Source organism: Homo sapiens, chromosome 2, assembly GCF_000001405.40.
Source record: "Homo sapiens chromosome 2, GRCh38.p14 Primary Assembly".
NCBI classification, from domain to species: domain Eukaryota; kingdom Metazoa; phylum Chordata; class Mammalia; order Primates; family Hominidae; genus Homo; species Homo sapiens.
In genome coordinates this window covers 119,758,677-119,776,231 of record NC_000002.12, presented here as the reverse complement: position 1 = coordinate 119,776,231, position 17,555 = coordinate 119,758,677, and the positions used below count along the sequence as shown (strand labels likewise).

The window sequence follows — 17,555 nt, the reverse complement described above, 5'->3', positions numbered from 1 at the left end:
TGCACTCCAGCCTGGGCAACGGACTGAGACTCTGTCTCAAAAAAATTAATAAATAAATAAATCTTTATATTATGGTACCAATCGTTCTTCTACCATTTGCTTTAGTTTCAGTGCCCGTATTTTAGAAGGGTCCATGTTGTAAAAGAAGTTAAAGGCAGTCTTGAATAAGTGGAACCCTTCTGCCAGACTGTCTATAGTTAATTTATTTTCTGGTACTGTTTCTTCCACATCTTCTTGCTTATCATCTGGTACTGGTTTGGAAGCACTCATCTCCATCAAGTTATTTTCCATTTATTCCTCTGGTGTGGTGTCTAATTAGCTCTTGAATTTCTTCAAGATGTATACCTGAAACCCTTCATCCTCAACCTTTAAAAAGTATATAGATAGATATATAGATATAGATATAGATATAGATATAGATATAGATATCCACAATCTCTTTTATGAGTTCCCTGACTGACTCTGTTGTAAATCCTGTGAAGTCATGCACAACATCTGGACAAAGTCTTCCGTAGCAGGTATTTACAGTTTCAGGCCTGATGGCTTTCACAGCTTTTTCTATAACAACAATGGCATCTTCAATACTGTAATCCTCCAGACTTCCATGATGTTCTATCAGGGTTCTCTTCCATAATGCTGACAATCCTTTCCATAGAGTATCATGTGTAATGAGCCCTAAAGGTCCTTAGGACTAATCAATCTGGAGTCTGAATTAGAAATGTTGTGTTTGGAAGAGCGCGCAGACCACTTCAACATAAGGTTAAACTCACAGGGTTCCGGGTGGCCAGCGGCATTGTCCAACATCAAAAGAACTTTAAAAGGCAGTCCCTTACTGGCAAGGTAGTTCCTGACTTCAGGGACAAAGCACAAATGAAACCAATCCAGAAAAAGAGTTATTGTCCAGGCCTTCTTGTTATATGACCAATAGACTGGCAGCTGGTATTTACCTTATCCCATCAAGGCTCGGGGGTTAGCAGCTTTATAGATAAGGGCAGTCCTGATCATAAACCGGACTGCATTTGCACAAAACAGTGGAGTTAGCCTATCTTTTCCTCCCTTAAATCTTGATGCTCACTTCTCTCTTACTAATAAATGTCCTTTGTGGCTTTTTTTTTTTTTTTTTTTTTTTTTTTTTCAGAATAGGGCACCTTCATCTGCATTAAAAACCTGTTAGGCAGATATCTTTTCTCCTCAATGATTTTCTTTTTATTTTTTTTTTAGCAGTCTCGCTGTGTTGCTCAGGCTGGAGTGCAGTGGCGCGATATTGGCTCACTGCAACCACCACCTCCCAGGTTCATGCGACTCCTGCCTCAGCCTCCTGAGTAGCTGGGATTAAAGGCACATGCCACCATGCCTAATTTTTGTATTTTTAGTAGACGGGGTTTCACCTTGTTGGTCAGACTGGTCTCGAACTCCCGACCTCGTGATCTGCCCGCCTCGGCCTCCCAAAGTGCTGGGATTATAGGCATAAGCCACCATGCCTGGCCCTCAGTGATTTTCTTAAGGGTGCCTAGGAACTCATCTGTTGCCTCTTGGTTGGCAGAAGCTGCTGTTATCCTGACATTTTTTAAGCCAAACTCTAAAACTATCAAACCATCCTTGGATTGGGTTAAATTCTCCAGCTTTAGATCCTTCACCTTTCTTTTGCTTTAAGTCATCATATAATGACTTTGCTTTTACTCAAATCATATTAGAGTCTATACGTGTGCCTTTCTAATAGCAATCCTGCACTAATATAAAAGCTGCATTTTCAATGTGAGATAAAAAGGTATTTCACAAAAAGTGCAAGATTTTTGCACCTGCTGGTGTAGCTGTAGCAACAGCTTCACAGATTTCTTTTAAAAACAAAACAAAAACAAAACAAAAAAATGGTCTTTATCCTGGATTCATTTCTCTTGAAATGGCAAGCAACCAAAGCTGCAGACCTCAATCTATGGTACATATCAAGCCATTCAACTTTTTCTTGTAATGTTGTGACATTTCTCTCCTTGGGAGCACTTCCAGCATCACTAGCTGCATTTCATATGGGTTCCATGGTGTTATTCAAGGTTTATGATTTGCACTAAACATGATGAAACATAGCTAAAAAATACTCAAGAACCACAAAAGATCACTTTTTATTGTGACAGGCAATTAACTGGAGAGACAAACTACTCATGTGGAGATGATTAGCATCACATGGCATTTTAAATGGATACTTCCAACACCTGAACTCACTAGAAATAGAGGTGGTTATTACATTATTACAGTAATACATTATGTAAGATGGTTAATTTTGTGCAGTTGATTTAATACTGCATCATTATGTTTTTTCACATTTCTCTCAACTGCAAATGATACCATGTATGGTCTGTGTGAGTTTCGTTAAATTTTAACATTTTATAATAGATTTGTGTATATTTTATGGTAGTAAATGATAAAGTAGACTAGTATCTATATATATTTTATGTATTCATGACATCTAATTTTTCCTTTTTAGTTTTTTTTTTTTTTTTTGAGACAGAGTCTTGCTCTGTCACCCAGGCTGGAGTGCAGTGGTGCGATCTCGGCTCACTGCAACCTCTGCCTCCTGGGTTCAAGTGATTCTCCTGCCTCAGTCTCCTGAGTAGTTAGGATTACAGGCGTGCGCCACCACGCCCAGCAAATTTTTGTATTTTTAGTAGATGCAGGGTTTCACCATGTAGGTCAGGCTGGTCTTGAACTCCTGACCTCGTGATCCACCTGCCTTGACCTCCCAAAGAGCTGGGATTACAGGCATGAGCCACCGCGCCCAGCCAGTTTTTTTCTTAATTGAAAAAAAGTCTTGATATTTTTAGGCTATATAGTTCATCTGTGTTTTTTTCAAATCGTCCCAAACCTCCAAAAATTTTTCCGATATATTTATTGAAAAAAAATCCACGTATAAGTGGACCCACACAGTTCAAATCCATGTTGTTCAAACATCAGCTGTATGTGCGTTTTCAACTTGTAGCATTTTCCACCAATATGCTAGATACAAAAACTTAGAATGAACAGAAAACCAATTAGTATCTACGATATTATAAATTAGTAAGAAAAACTATTCACCCTAGCAGATAAATGAACAAAAAATTTGAAGAATATAAGAAATGAAATTAATAAACATGAAAAAATGTTCAACTACATTACCACCAAAAAGAAATACAAAAGAAAACAAAGTACCACTTCTTTCCATTGCTAGGAAGTTGGTGGTTCAGTTCTACAATCTCATATCTAAGATCTCTAGCTTCAAAACACTTTCAGAAGTGTTTTGAATTTCAGAGTATCTGGGACACAGACAGGTGATACGGCACAGATACCTTACATTAAGTAACATTCTTGATTCTAGGGCAGCACCCTGTATTCAACCATATTGCTATTTAAAATTTCTTTAAGGGCCAGGCACGGTGGCTCACGCCTGTAATCCCAGCTCTTTGGGAGGCCGAGGCAGGTGGATCACTTGAGGTCAGGAGTTCAAGACCAGCCTGGCCAACACAGTGAAACCCCGTCTCTACCAAAAATATAAAAAATTAGCTGGGTGTGGTGGCGTGAGCCTGTAATCCCAGCTACTTGGAAGGCTGAGGCAGGAGAATCACTGGAACCCAGAAGGCAAAGGTTGCAGTGAGCCAAAATCATGGCACTGCACTCCAGCCTGGGCAACAGAGCAAAAGTCCGCCTCAAAAAATAAAAATAAAATAAAATTTCTTTAGAGAATCTGAAGAATGTACACTGTAAGTGGAATAAATGAGACTAAGTAGTCTCACCTCAGTATAAGTCAAGTTTGGTTGCCAAATTAGTTAACAAAACTTTTGGGCTTTTTAGGGATGTGGGAATTTCAGAATTGCATATAACAAACTGTTGGTTACGAAATTCTTTTCATAAACAATTATGATAACACAGATCAAAAGCCATAAAAATAGCCAGATACAAAATGAGTCACAGTATCAGAATCACCTAAGAGAACTTTTTCAAATCACGATCCCTTCCCAAAGAAGACATTCCATTTTCCCTAGCAGCTTCTTGTAGTAAGCCACTATAACTGACTGCAATTTGTGCTAGGCTGGAAACAGTAAGATAAATTAGAAAGATTTCCCTTATTTCAATGCAAATGAAACAATTTGGAAGTCCTTGGCATTTGTAATGATATTTTGCTTTCATGAACAAGTATCTAAAAAAGAAACACACAAAAATAATATTATCTTAAAAACTGATATTTCCCAAATAACTTTAATCCCCTTGGAAAACTCCTTCATTTTATTTTATAGAGAGATGGAGAGATAACAAAAGAATTCTGATCAGATATGAATGTCAGATCACTCTGGCTACAGTGTAAAGGAGATTATAAAGGGCAAAACTATAGCAAACTGCACTTAAAAAGACTACTACAAGAGTCCAGACAAGGCATAATGGACTTATAACAACTAACATCAAGAAGATTTTAAATCATCCCAAATAATTTCAGAAGTTTTGCCAAGTTTCACATTGACAAACTAAAACTCAAGGGCTGATAGGGCTGTGATAGGGAAAATTAGGGGAGAAGAGGGAAACTCGCTAATGATGATGAGAGGCAATAGAGACAGGCAGTTAGAAAATAGTATCCAGAGCTTACAGTACCAGACAATAAGCAGTGATCCAGGCAAGCAGGTCTTTAGCATTGTAGAGGTCAGATAAGCAGGTGGTATCCCAGCAATCACGGAAAAACACAGTAAGGAAACATGGCAGCAGGCAATGCTTACAGTAGATAGCAGAGAGCTCCAGCTACAAGATTGGAGTACAGGAATTTAAAAATAGGACATTGTTAACACAGAAAACCAGGACAGAGCAGAACAGATACAGATCTGCACTCAAATAAACCTACTTTTATTTATTTATTTATTTTCAGACAATAAGGATTTATATGTCTCACAATTCCCTGGCCAGGAATTGGGTAAAAGCTAGATTAGGCAGCTCTTCTGCTGCACTGGATGTCATCTGGCATCATTTGGGATCATTCACTCATCTACATTCAGTTGATGGCTGGGCTGGGATGGAAAGTCCAAGAAGGCATCACTTTCATGTGTCCTCACTGAAGTACTCATCCACATGGCCTTCTGGTCTCTCCTGTGAGAGTTTGGGCTTCCTCACAGCATGGGAGTCTCAAGGTAATCAGACTTGTTACATGGTAACTGATTTCTACTGAGTAAAAGCAGAAGCTGACAAGATTTTTAAAAGCCTGTAGTCCCAGCCACTCGGGAGGCTGAGGCAGGAGAATCGCTTGAACCCAGGAGCCAGCGGTTGCAGTGAGCAGAGACTGCGCCACTGCACTCCAGCCTGAGCGACAGAGCGAGACTCCGTCTCAAAAAAAAAAAAAAAAAAAGTTAGACCCTTTAGATACAGAAAAGTCAGGCAGGTCATTAATGTAAAATGCTTCAGGGAGCACTAGTTCATACAGAAAGAGGTGAAAGGAAATGGGTTACACAAGTAAAAGGGTCTAAAACTTAAAGTTTAAATAATTAGAATTAGTTAGCTTAATAGTATATCTATACAATAGAACATACTACTATATTTTTTAAAAAGAAGAAGAAAGGGACAGCTTTTTATATGCTGAAGTCAAATGATCTCCAAGGTATATTTTAAATTTAAAAATTATGGTACAAAGCATTAATATAGTAAATACCTTCTACATAAAAAAGGTAGGGGGAAAACAGTAATCTTTATATGTGTTTCTATTTGCATAAATACCATAGAATATACAAAAAATAAAAGTAGTTACCTATACAGAACAGGAAAGAGAAGGAGTGGTATCAAGACTTCTCATTATATGCCTTTTTATATTATTTTGAAACTTGAACCATGTAGCCATATTGCCAATTCAAATACGAAAATACAATTTAAATACAATTTTAAAATGACAAGTCTGAGAATTATGGTAATATACACTGCTGTATTAATTAAACATTGACTTATCTGTACTTATTTTACTGTAGACTAACATAGTTATCTATGACTTATCTGTACCATTTCTAGCTATACACTAGATTTCAAGTTCCTCTGAAGAAAGAACAATAATCTTGATGATAAAGAGCATGTCTTATTCAATTCTGTATCCCCACAGCCAAGCACAGTGCCTAGTACCTAGCTGGTGCTCAAAGAATACATTAAATTAGCCCTGGATTGGATTTCCCTCTAAAGTCACCTCCAATTTTGGACGTAATTTTTAATTGTATTGCTAGTGACTCGTCTATATACAAGAATATACTTAGAATTCGTGTTTGTATAAAAATGAGCAAAGAGAAGCTCTTTACACAACTGTATAACAAAAACACAAGATACAAATTTAACTAAAAACAAAATAAACAATGACCCTTGGATTACTCCAAAGACCTACCAAAAGATGGCATTTAAAATGGGAGCAGGCAGCTATCCCAGATACATATCAAAGTTCACTCAGGGCATTTTTTTGATAGTAGGTGTTGCTAATTAGTTTTGCTTACCCAACTTTAAAATAACCATTACAGTTTCCTTCTCTTAATCCCAACAAATGTTAAGGTGTATGTAACCCTTGAAACGCAAAGGTATTTTTCTTGATGCTGTCCCCTATTCTTCCATGACCTGAGATCTTTTACCTCTATGGCAAACTTCTCGAAGAGCTGTCTCATCTATATTCATTGTACACTTGGTTTCCTCAATTTAGTTTATTACACTCTTCCACTATAACTCTTCTGCTAAAGCAACAAACCTCAAACTAGTACACCTCAGAAGAACCTTAGCATTTCAGCAGATTTTCCCAGGCTACCACTTCCTGGCTCCCCACTCCCCCTTTTAAGAATCTATAAGGTCTGAGATGAGACCTGGGGAGTTCATATTTTTCATTAGTATCTCCATAATTCTGATACAGGCAGCTCGCCTGAACACACTGGAAAACCAACTAGCTGAGATTATCAATAACTTTCCAACAGTCAAATTCAAAGCCTCTTGGTCTTCTCTTTTTCTCTCAGCAACATGGCAGCTTCATGAAATTCCTTACTTCACCATCATCTAACACACAACCACACTCCTCTCTCACAACCTTTCTTTCAGTCTTCTTCACTGGCTTCTTGATTTCGGAGAGCCCTTAATCTTTCAGTGATGGTAGTTAGGAGCTCTGTCAGTGTGCCTCTTCCTAACTTTATATATACTTCATAAGCAGTGACAGTCCCACCCATTGCTTCAGCTACCATCTATACAACCTTAAATCCTGCCACTTTGGATTCCACAGATACTCAGAGGCTATGCAGTACAGGAGAGAAAAGATGCTTCAGTATCAGACGAATCTGAATGCAAAATATTTACTCAGCTATTTACACAGTAACATGCCTAAAGACACAGACCTTTTTGAATTTCAGCTCTGTTCTCCTTTTAAAACTGGGAATAGCACCTTTCTAACAAATTTCTGTCCTGATTAAATGAGGGGAAAAAGATTAAATGAGAAGTTCTCTTTCCTACATGGACCTGACAGCAAGCTCTGAGGACCCCATGCCACAGGCCTCAGAGGCGGCAAGCAAGGAGAAAGGAGACAACTAATGCGGGGTCGGAAGACTGGCACATACAAGGGGATTGAGCAAATAAGTAAATACACTGAGGAGATAATAGGAACCAATTTATCACTGCTGGAGAAGAGATTTACAAATACAGAAAGGGAAAAGGCTAGACGAATCCTGAGATGTTAGATTGGAATTGGTTGTATCAGTGTGAACTTATAAAATACCTGTACATAGGCATAGAAACAGATTCAGATGTGTGTATACATATATGTATTTCCTAGCTCTATCCCCCTAAAAGTGATGACATGCCAGCAGAAATGAACACACTGAACACTCGGATCTCAGTTCCTAAATAGCATCTCTACTTAAAAAAGTAAAATAAAATCAGGATTCCTTGGAAAAATAAATGATTTCAGAGCTGGGATAGGAGAGTATTAAGATCATCTGGAACATCTTGTTAGGCCAGAAAGTAAGGAAATACACCAAGGAGGGGGACAGGTCAAGGAGATAGAGGAGCCAACTTAAAGGCCAAATTTGGGACAATTTGACCAACAAAATGAAATTTTAAAATGACAGTAACTAATATAAACCACTAAACAGAAACAAATCCAGGAGTATATATTGATATAAATGAATGAATAAATAAATGTATGGAGAAGAAGGAGAAAATCTTCTTTCAGTAGAATATGAACTAATAAATGTAGGTGACAACTTTCACAGTTGTGGCTGATTCAGGTAGCAATCATCAGACCTGAAGGCTCGTGGTTACAGCCTTCAGCTCTATTGACACACTCCCAGATATCTTCTCACATAAGAATTCCCAATTACAAAAGGAAAAAAACGATAACTTCACAGTAGAGAAACCCAGCAGACTTGAATTTAACAGGTGTTCAAAGTTAAACATCGCTAGTAGCAGGACTATACAGCACGTCTCTTAGTGATGTACTAAGAATATCACGACATTATTTCTATGGCATTCCTGCCAACAATGCACTCGGTCTGCACATGAGGAACCACTGGATGAACTTAAGTTGAGGAAAACATGTAACAGAAAAAAAGGACTCTGCTCATTAAAACTGTCAAGGTCATAAAGGACAGGGAAATATTGAGGAATCATTCCAAACTGATGGAAACTAAAAGATGTGACAATTAAATGCAATGTGTGAACCTGAATTGGATGCTGGACCAAAAAGAAAAGAGAGATACTACTGGGATAGTTGGAAAAATTTGAATGGCATCTAGGTTCGACCTGAAGGTAGTGTTATATCAACGTTGATTTCCTGATTTGGCGGTTATGTAGGAGATTGTCCTGTTTTGCTAAATACACACTAAAATATTTAGTAGTGATAGGGATCATGTCTGCAACTTGCTCTCAAATAATTCAGGAAAAAAGCCAAATGAAATTAGAAATGGTGCATTCCCCTGAAATGGAGAAATAAGGATTAAAATGTAGGACCAGAAATGAGAGATGATGAGGTTGTTTCACTGAAATTTGAGGATCCAATTAGATACAGTAGAAAAAGGGAAAGGGCTAAACACAATTCCAAGGTGACCACTTGGGGCATCTGGAAAAGGCCTTACTGAGCCAAGCACGAGGTGTTCCAGGCTCATCTTGAGCTGTGTATACACACGGTACATAGCTAGTACAATGTTAAAAATTAGTTTAAGGCGATTCAGGAGCTCTTTGTTGTACTTTTCTTGAGATTTCTCATTAGGTTTGAAATTATTTCAAAATGTTAAATGAGAACTCGTGACAACTTCGCTGTCTAGCAAAATACCTGGCTCACTGGAAGTGCTCAATAAAAATAATCTGGCCTTCCCTTGCTAAAGAAGGGAAGCTGCCAAAGAAGAAATCCTAGCATCATCTTCAACTCTTTCCCCCCATGTCCAAATGGACTCTCAGGTCTAGTGAAACTACTCAGTTTTCAGTTCTAATCTCATATCTATATTGCCCTATTTCTGGTTCCTATCATCCCTCCCCTGGACCACTGCAACAGCATCTGGTCTCTCTGCTCCATTTCTAACCTCATCCTTGCATTATCCTTGTAACTTTGCATCATTATCTAGAAGTCAGGAGTTACCTTTCAAAACCTGCATCTAATCTTATCATCCCTTATTTAAATACCTCTAAATTGTTCCTGAATGTTAATGCTGATTTCCCAAGAGGCAGACTAAATGCATGTTTAGGGCACCAGTAACGCAAGGGCACCAAAGAGATATTTCACACACACACACACACACACACACAGACACACACACACACACACACACACACACACACACGCGCGCACATGCGCATACACCAGTGAAATGGGGGAGGCAGCGGGTAAAGGGAGGGAAAAAGAGAGAGAAAGAGGAAGGTGACTTAAGAATTCTTAAGTTTACCTTAAGCTTACTTTAGGATTTGATATTTATTTCTGATTCCATAGTGGATGCCAAGGGTGAGTAGGAACCATAAACTTTCTAATACTTACAGTCTCTAAAACAGTGGTTTTCCCAATCCTTTTCCCAACTTGGCAACAAAGAAAATAATAATTTCTTAGCACGTTGGGATAAGCCACAAATGCTATTCAAAGCCAAAAGAAACCATCCTGGGGCAGGGTGGGGAGGGGGATCTGATATGCCCAGGTCCCATTAAACAAGGGTATCTTGCTCTCCGAAACACTGGTAAACCATTCATGGCACACCAGTTGGGAAGCTCTATTTTAAAGGTCTTAAAATGATCCCACTCATTGCCCAAACACAAGGACCCTCACAAGACTTCATTTCCCACTGCAATCAACGCACATGCGCGCGCGCACACACACACACACACACAGATTCACACACAGGAACAGACAACCACACCCACCCAGACAGAGACAGACATATCCAACAAGACAACTTACATTTCTCCAAACACACCACACATTCTTTCATACTTTGACTTTTTCTATATGCTGTTCTCTCTACCCAGATCAATTCCAAATGATCCTCCAAGACCATATTCAAATGCCACTTCTTTTCCCCAGATCTTATTACACTGTCACTATGAATTGTTAATTGTTTGTTGACATGTGTTACCACCCTAGAATTTGAGCTCAAGGACAAGAATCATGTCTTATTTACCTTTATACCACTGCTCCCACTACAATGGGCATTTCAAATGTTTGCTTAACATATAAAGGAATGTTCATTACATCATCACCAAATAAATTTTCAAATTACATTAATTAAAACAATGAAATACAATTATAAAATTAGCATTTTTTTCTTCCCAAAACAAGAACAACCACTGTAGGTACTTCTGTAAGAGAGAGATCTGGCACAGAAATATTCATGACACTTGACCATTATCCCAGTCCTAGGGTTTTAAACTGAGGAAATAAACAAAAAACCGCTTAACAAAATGTAAATGTCTAAATCAGTTATGGTATATCACCTGAATGTTTAACTAATCACTTAAATTATATTCATTGACCTTGGTGGCTTTGGGTAGCTAAAATAAATAAATAATATTCATGAAGATGGGAATAGAAAAATGAAAAAATAATACCAACTATCACTGACTGATCATCTCTTGTATTTAAAGCACAGCGCTAGATGCCTTACATATAGTATCTTAATCCCCACAATTCAAGACCACCTGACTCAGAAATGAGACACTTTGCCCAAGGCTTTTGACGCTAGATTCCACACCAGATTTGACTCCTGACTCAGAAATCAGACAGTTTGCCCGAGGTTTTTGACGCTAGATTCCACACCAGATTTGACTCCAAAGTCTGTGATCTTTCCCCTACATTGCACAGCCTCCACCATACAATGTTCCCATTATATTCCTCTCAAAATTCTCTCTACCACACAACTTTATTTTTTAAATATGAACAATTACCTGGAAAGAAACAAAAAATAGCTATTATGGTGGTGATCAAGGGTAAACGTTGTTACAGTATTTATCCTTTTTAAAAATTAGCAACTTTTAAAAGTAGCATTGTTGAAAAATGAACTAAATTCATAAGACAATACAAAAGACGCTATTCCTATTTTAATTTTTTTAACCTAAGAAAATTAAGGAAACAGAGTAGGTAACATAAAAACTTAAGAAAAAAAAAAAGCTTAAGAAGATATTAAACTATATCTAAACAAGCATATATTAACCTTAGGGTACTTATTACCAGGATTCATTAACTGATCCTTGTGAGTGGATTAAGCAGCATTCTTCCAGAAACAGGTGAATTTTGAAAAAGGTTTAAAGAGGAGGCACATGAATTGGAGACAGAGATGTTTAAATTATGGAAACGAGGACAAAGGAAAAAACAAGACTATTTTCTTTTTAAGCACGAATGAGAAACAAGGTTAATGAGATGAAGTTGGTAGAAAGTCTTCAAGGTCAAGCAGGTAAATTTGGGATTAATTTGATAAGCACCGGGGAACTCCTATATATTTTTAAACGGGAAGGTGGCATGTTAAAATATGGCCTTTAAAGATTCAAACTTTGTTCCATCATAAAGTACTGCCTTGAGTTACACAATGTTTTTGCCGAACAGTTGGGGAGGTGGGGAATAATCCACTATCCTTTATGTGTGCTTTATACATACGCTTCTCAAAAAGAGAAACTGACTAAACAGAAATCTTTAGGTAATGGGTGAGCATATTGGGGAGGGGATCCTTTCAGACATAATGCTTGTGAATATTGAATGCTACTGTATGTTTTAATAACAGTCACAGAACTTCAGGCAAGAAGGAACCTTGGAGATAATCTCTTAGTGGCGACCCCTTCATTTTCACACCAGATTAGACTGAAGCCCAGAACTAAACAACTTGCCCAATGCCATGCATAAACCAGTGGAAGATTAAATACTACAACTCAGATTTTCTAAGCAGTCAGACCTAAAGCTATGCTCTCCAATACTATAGCTACTAGCCACATCTGGCTATAAATTTAAATTGATTTAAATTAAATACAATTTTAAATTGAGTTTCTCAGACACACTCGTCACATTTTAAGTGCTCCATAGCCACACATGATTAATGGCTACCATAACTAACAGTGCAAAAAATATTTCTATGATATTTGTCAATTATACTTCAATAAAGTTGAAGGAAAAAAGAATATTTCCATCATTGCAGAAAGTTTAATTGGACAGAACCGATCTAAAGAATAAGTTTTAGAGAATTCCACTTACTAGAAGTATGAGCCTAGACAAGTTATTTCATTTCCCTTAGCTTCTATTTGGCAGGGAGAGGACAGGGGATTAATAATACCTACCTCATAAAGCATACTTGGTGAGTGGGACAACATGAAAAGCCCCTTATACAGGATCTGACACTTAACAGACAATAAATATTAACACTCTTCCCCTCTGGGTCCTTTTTTCTTTCTACTACTCTATATAACCTCCTTGTTAAAAAATACAAACACAATAACCAACCCAAATTGATATTTTCCTCATGATAGTCTATACGATGTAATTTTCATTTTGTTCTTACTAATTAATTCAAATACTTGCATCTCTCTTCCAAAGTTTCTACTTAAGAATAATGAAATGAAGAATGAATGTGAGGGAAGATATCTCTAATGAAATGAAAGAGTCTAATAAATTTCCCCTCCTCTTTTTCCCCATTCATGCAAAAGATAAGAAATTATGCTGTTCCTAGACAATGGTACTTTCATATCAATAAAGAAGATTCTACGGTATTTCTACATTATATCCTATCTCATCATCTATACTACTCATTAAATATTAAATGAAGAGATAACACCTCCTTCCTACAGTGCTTTCCTGGCAAACAATAAAAAGGATTTTCAGAATGCTAAGCCAAACTTCAAGGCTTCACAGCTTATTCTAGTAAACTGGCAAATTTAACAAATCTGGATTATAGTACATAAAAAACTTCATAACATGCAATAACCCAGGAAAACAACAAAATTCAACTCAGTTAGTAAACTTCTACCAATAACTAAATTTTACATAGGAGCAACAATTCATATTTAGCCACAATAACCATTCCTAGGGAGTTGATCAATTTTGCATTCTAACTAAGAATTTAGGCAAAACTTTAAAACATTTGCCCCTAAACATACACCAAACAAGATTTCCACGTTTCTGGAAAACTTTTCTTGTTTAAAAGTGGCCATATTAACTCTCAAGCGGGGGGCAGAAGTACTCTCAATAACAAACCTCCTTGCAATTTTCTGCTAGTCTCTTACTTTGCTCCTTAAAGACAACTTACTAAAAACCATGATCACTGATCCCGCTTTTAGAGTTTGTAAGTCATAAATAAATACTAAACAGATAACAATGGATACTGTACTGTACACCTCAATTATGTTTAACAGACAAAACTATTTTAAAAATACAAATCACAGTTTAATAACAACCTAACGAAGTCATACAAGTTAAAAAAAAAAGCTGAAAAGTTTTTATTACCATCTCACGTAAATTGTATTACTATCCCACTTTATTATACTTTTTTTTTAAAGTTAGGCATCTATGCTCAAACTGATTAAATCGAGTATGAGAGATCTATACTTTTTTTAAAAGTCCTTCAACAATAATGAAGTGTACACTGGTCACAGAATAGTTCAAATGAAATTTCCTGAGGCTGCATTCTAAGTACATCCGACCCAGAAAGTATTTTTAGCAAGTACGTTCAATCAATGCTGGTTTTATGCCTAGCCTAAATTAGAAATTGGGTGTTATAAATTTAAAGTAACAATGTTACTAGGGACATTTTAAAAGATATTTAATTAGAACATAAGAAAAAAACACAAGTTTGACTCAATTCAATACCTACAGCTCTGAAGCTAAGATGTTAGAAAATGGGCAGTAAGAAAAATCACATCCTCGTCTATTACTACTTTTGAGGAACTCGTGATTTTCTAACTTAATAAACATGGACCTACTCAATTAATATTTTTAAAAACTACAAAATAGTGGTGCCTCCTTGGATTTTAAAAACCTCTTGCCAAATTTTTAAAACAGACTGGCAACATGACAAACATTCCCATGTACAAAATAGACTGTTTCTCTTATAAATCACTGAAGATTATGATACTATGGGACCGTGCGTGTTTCAATGCAAAATGTAACAAAGATATGTGTACCATAAAAAATGCGAAGAGACATAAAAATTGCTTTTGTGGTAATTGGAGCATAAATTTATTCTAACAAAAAAACAGTGATGTCCACAAAATGATCACACTTACGAGCTAGTGAAGAGGTTCTGTAGAATACACAAACTTCTGCTTACGAGTTTTTTCTTTAAAAGAAAGCTGAATTTATATTAGTCAAATTCAAGATTTAGATGATATACCTAGCTCTATTCCATTAAGCACAGTTTAGGCTCTGAACAATCCTTTATTTTAAGGCCATCTCCTTCCCCCTTAAAATTGAAAAAAAATTTTTTTCCTCTGGCACGTTAAAGTTCAGAAAACCAAGATTTAAAAATGCCCTGGCTTTTACTGTTCCAGTCTTCTTTCTACTCTAATTGTCTTTTGCAAGTCGGACACATTGGCCTTTTATCTTTCTCCATAAATATGTTTTAAATGTGACCAATCAGCTGTACTGTTTCAACTGGGCCCAAGATCTGGACACAGAAACTTAGTATTACTGAAACCTCTTATTCGAAAAGCAGCTGGCATATTGCAGATGCATAACAAGTTATCCTAGAACAGGCGTTTTGAAAAATCCTACAAATCGTCCTTGTACATACTGATGTCACTACATGATGCAAGCCCAGACATAAAATCTTCCACCCTAAGTTTTGCAGAAACATCCACACATCACCTGTGCAACTGTAAGCTGTTCCATTTTATGGAAACCCTGCGAAATGCATCACTGTTTACCCACATCTCAACTTTTTTTTTTTTTTTTTTTTTGGCTCAACTACAGATTCCCAAATACAGGTATATACTGGTAGAATCATAACAGGCTTAAAACTTCAATGGTAGGAATAGTTGGCTCATGCAGCGTGCAAGAAGCGCTCATATGAGCCAAAAAAAAAAAAAAAAAAAAAAGGAATTCTACCAGCAATGGAAAACTCAAGATTCCAAAGCTTTACCTAGAGTTTAGGTACTGGGAACATTCCATCTCCGCACCTATTCCATCCCTTGGCCCTTCGCTGACCCATAACAGAGATTCCAACTATAACCCCCGCAAAAGCAGAGGTCCCAGGAAGAAAGGAAAGAAAGCGTTTTTTTGTTTGTTTGTTTGTTTGTTTTTGTCCTTTTTTCCTTCCTTTCAAATCATCCTCGTACCTCCGGCTTGCCCCACCTGGCTCACCTCCCAGGAGCCACACATGCAGGTAAGAGCCTCCCGTTCAACGTGCAGGGCCGAGAGGCCGGCGGGGACCGGAGAACCTCTTACCTTCGTATATCACAGCCGCGTCCTCTCGGCTGGAGAAAAAAAGCCTCGAGGCCCCGGCGCGCAGAGGAGAAGCGCGTCCTCCGTGCCGCTCCGGGGGGCTACCTCAGCGCCCCCCGAGCAGCCGCCGCCGCAGCGGTCGCGCCACGACCCGGAGCCGCCAGCACCACCTCATGCTGCTGGGCAGCCGCGGGCCGGCGCCGCTGGGGAGGTGGCAGGGAGGCGGGCAGCCGGCGACCTCTCCTACCTCCCTGCAGGGATGAGATAATCCACACCCCCAAAAGTGCGTGGGGGAGGGGGCCTGGCCCCAATCCTCCGACCCCGCGGCCAAAGCCAAGTCTCTTTCCTCTCCCGCTCAGGCCCAATTCCGGCCCCTGGGACCCAGGAGTCCTGAGAGAACAATGTTGGTGGTGGGGCGCGAGGAGCGGAAAAGCGCACTGCGCGGCGTGAGCTGGCGGGTAATCCTGGGCAGCGTTTGTGTGTGAGAGTGCAAGAGGAGCTCAGTCACCCCCCTCCTTCTCCACCTCCTCTTCCTCCCCCTCCTCCTCCTCTATCTCTTCCTCCTCCCTCAAGCACACCCCCTCTCCTAGGCCGCAGCATAGCAACCGAACATGGCGGCTGCGCAGGCGCCGCCAGTCAGTGGCCAGGAGCGGCGGCGGCAGCAACAGGAGGCGATCTCGCGAGAGGCGAGGCCAAAACCCTGCCTCGCTAGCGCAGGGAGAAGTCGCACCAGTCGGAGCGCAGAGGGACACGCAGGTGCGAGAGAGAGCGGCCTAGGAGGATTGGGAGGGCGGATTGGAGGGGGGAGGCGGAGCGCTGTGGCCCCCGCCCCGCAGCCGCGTCGCGATTGGTTGTTTGGACTGCGACCCCTGCTGCACCCACTGACCGCAGGGACCGGATAGTGGGCAAGAAGCGTGTGTTAAAAGGGAAAACCAGACCAGTTGGCAGCAGGTCGCCCCAACCTCAGTGCTCCTGGAGGATATAGGTTTTGGGGGGCAGTTTTGAATCATTTCCTCTCCTAAACGTAGGCTCCAAAACAAAGCCTCAGCAACCAACCTGCGTTTATAAAACAAACGTTCGGGGGCTCCTTCTGTGTGCCTGGAACGGTGTGCTTTTTAAAATTTAATTCCTTCTAATAACATGAATTTGGTGTTATCACGCCAGGGTTTTTAGCCAGGTGCATTATAATATTTTATTGGTGATACAAACTTATTGGTAATACCACAGTTGCCTACTGGCGAATGATCTCAGCTGAAATGGAGGAAGAAGGGATTTGGGGACCGCCACACTTCCTTTTTGCCCAATTTTTGTTAGTGCCCTTTTCTGTCGCCAGGCGCCTTCTTTGTCCTTCCTTGCTCTTAGCTTGAGCATCCTATCAGAGCCTACCTTTATAAAGACGATCTTTCAAAAACCACTTTCCCAAGCCGACAAAATGACTACAAATCAGGGGAATGTGAACAAATCTGGAAAAGACAGAAATTTCTATTGACTCTCTTCTCCCTCACACCTGTTAGTTTTTCCATTTGAAAAAGGCAACTTGTCAATCCATGTTTCCAGCTTTACTTCCTTCACTTGCTTTTCTTCCCAGATCTCTGTTGTAGCCAGTGCTCATTCATTCCTCCCTAAATATGCATTCCTGCCTCTGACTCTCCATTTTGTCTTTGATCATGCCATTCCCTCTGCTAAAATGCTCTTCACCTCATTGTCATCT

General features: G+C 39.1%; 1 protein-coding gene and 1 long non-coding RNA gene across 4 annotated transcripts in view, besides 6 other annotated features; one reads left to right on the top strand and one right to left on the bottom strand.

Moving 5' to 3' along the window:
* Window positions 1–16,310, bottom strand: part of PTPN4 (protein tyrosine phosphatase non-receptor type 4) — a 224,978-nt gene extending 208,668 nt beyond the window's left edge. The window contains exon 1 of the mRNA NM_002830.4: window positions 15,848–16,310. The gene's annotated coding sequence lies outside the window, so the exon portion shown is untranslated. The remainder of the gene's footprint in view (window positions 1–15,847) is intronic.
* Window positions 15,454–16,078: an enhancer, noted in NCBI's record as "H3K27ac hESC enhancer chr2:120517730-120518354 (GRCh37/hg19 assembly coordinates)". NCBI's record gives its function as "activates a minimal SCP1, AML or CMV promoter by ChIP-STARR-seq in primed H9 embryonic stem cells {active_cell/tissue: H9 hESC(primed)}" and the evidence as "EXISTENCE:reporter gene assay evidence [ECO:0000049][PMID:30033119]".
* Window positions 15,454–16,108: a biological region, named in NCBI's record as "H3K27ac hESC enhancer GRCh37_chr2:120517730-120518354".
* Window positions 15,809–16,108: a silencer, noted in NCBI's record as "silent region_11913". NCBI's record gives its function as "represses an Ori minimal core promoter by ATAC-STARR-seq in GM12878 lymphoblastoid cells {active_cell/tissue: GM12878}" and the evidence as "EXISTENCE:reporter gene assay evidence [ECO:0000049][PMID:35858748]".
* Window positions 16,325–16,619: an enhancer, noted in NCBI's record as "tiled region #5959; HepG2 Activating DNase unmatched - State 1:Tss, and K562 Activating DNase unmatched - State 1:Tss". NCBI's record gives its function as "activates a minimal TATA promoter and a strong SV40 promoter by Sharpr-MPRA in HepG2 and K562 cells {active_cell/tissue: HepG2 | K562}" and the evidence as "EXISTENCE:reporter gene assay evidence [ECO:0000049][PMID:27701403]".
* Window positions 16,349–16,608: an enhancer, noted in NCBI's record as "active region_16453". NCBI's record gives its function as "activates an Ori minimal core promoter by ATAC-STARR-seq in GM12878 lymphoblastoid cells {active_cell/tissue: GM12878}" and the evidence as "EXISTENCE:reporter gene assay evidence [ECO:0000049][PMID:35858748]".
* The window catches only part of LOC101927764 (uncharacterized), a 41,770-nt gene continuing 40,732 nt past the window's right edge, over window positions 16,518–17,555 (top strand). For all 3 annotated transcript variants that reach the window (XR_007087215.1, XR_007087214.1, XR_001739677.3), the window contains exon 1: window positions 16,518–16,600. This is a non-coding gene — a long non-coding RNA (uncharacterized LOC101927764). The remainder of the gene's footprint in view (window positions 16,601–17,555) is intronic.
* Window positions 16,659–16,768: a silencer, noted in NCBI's record as "silent region_11912". NCBI's record gives its function as "represses an Ori minimal core promoter by ATAC-STARR-seq in GM12878 lymphoblastoid cells {active_cell/tissue: GM12878}" and the evidence as "EXISTENCE:reporter gene assay evidence [ECO:0000049][PMID:35858748]".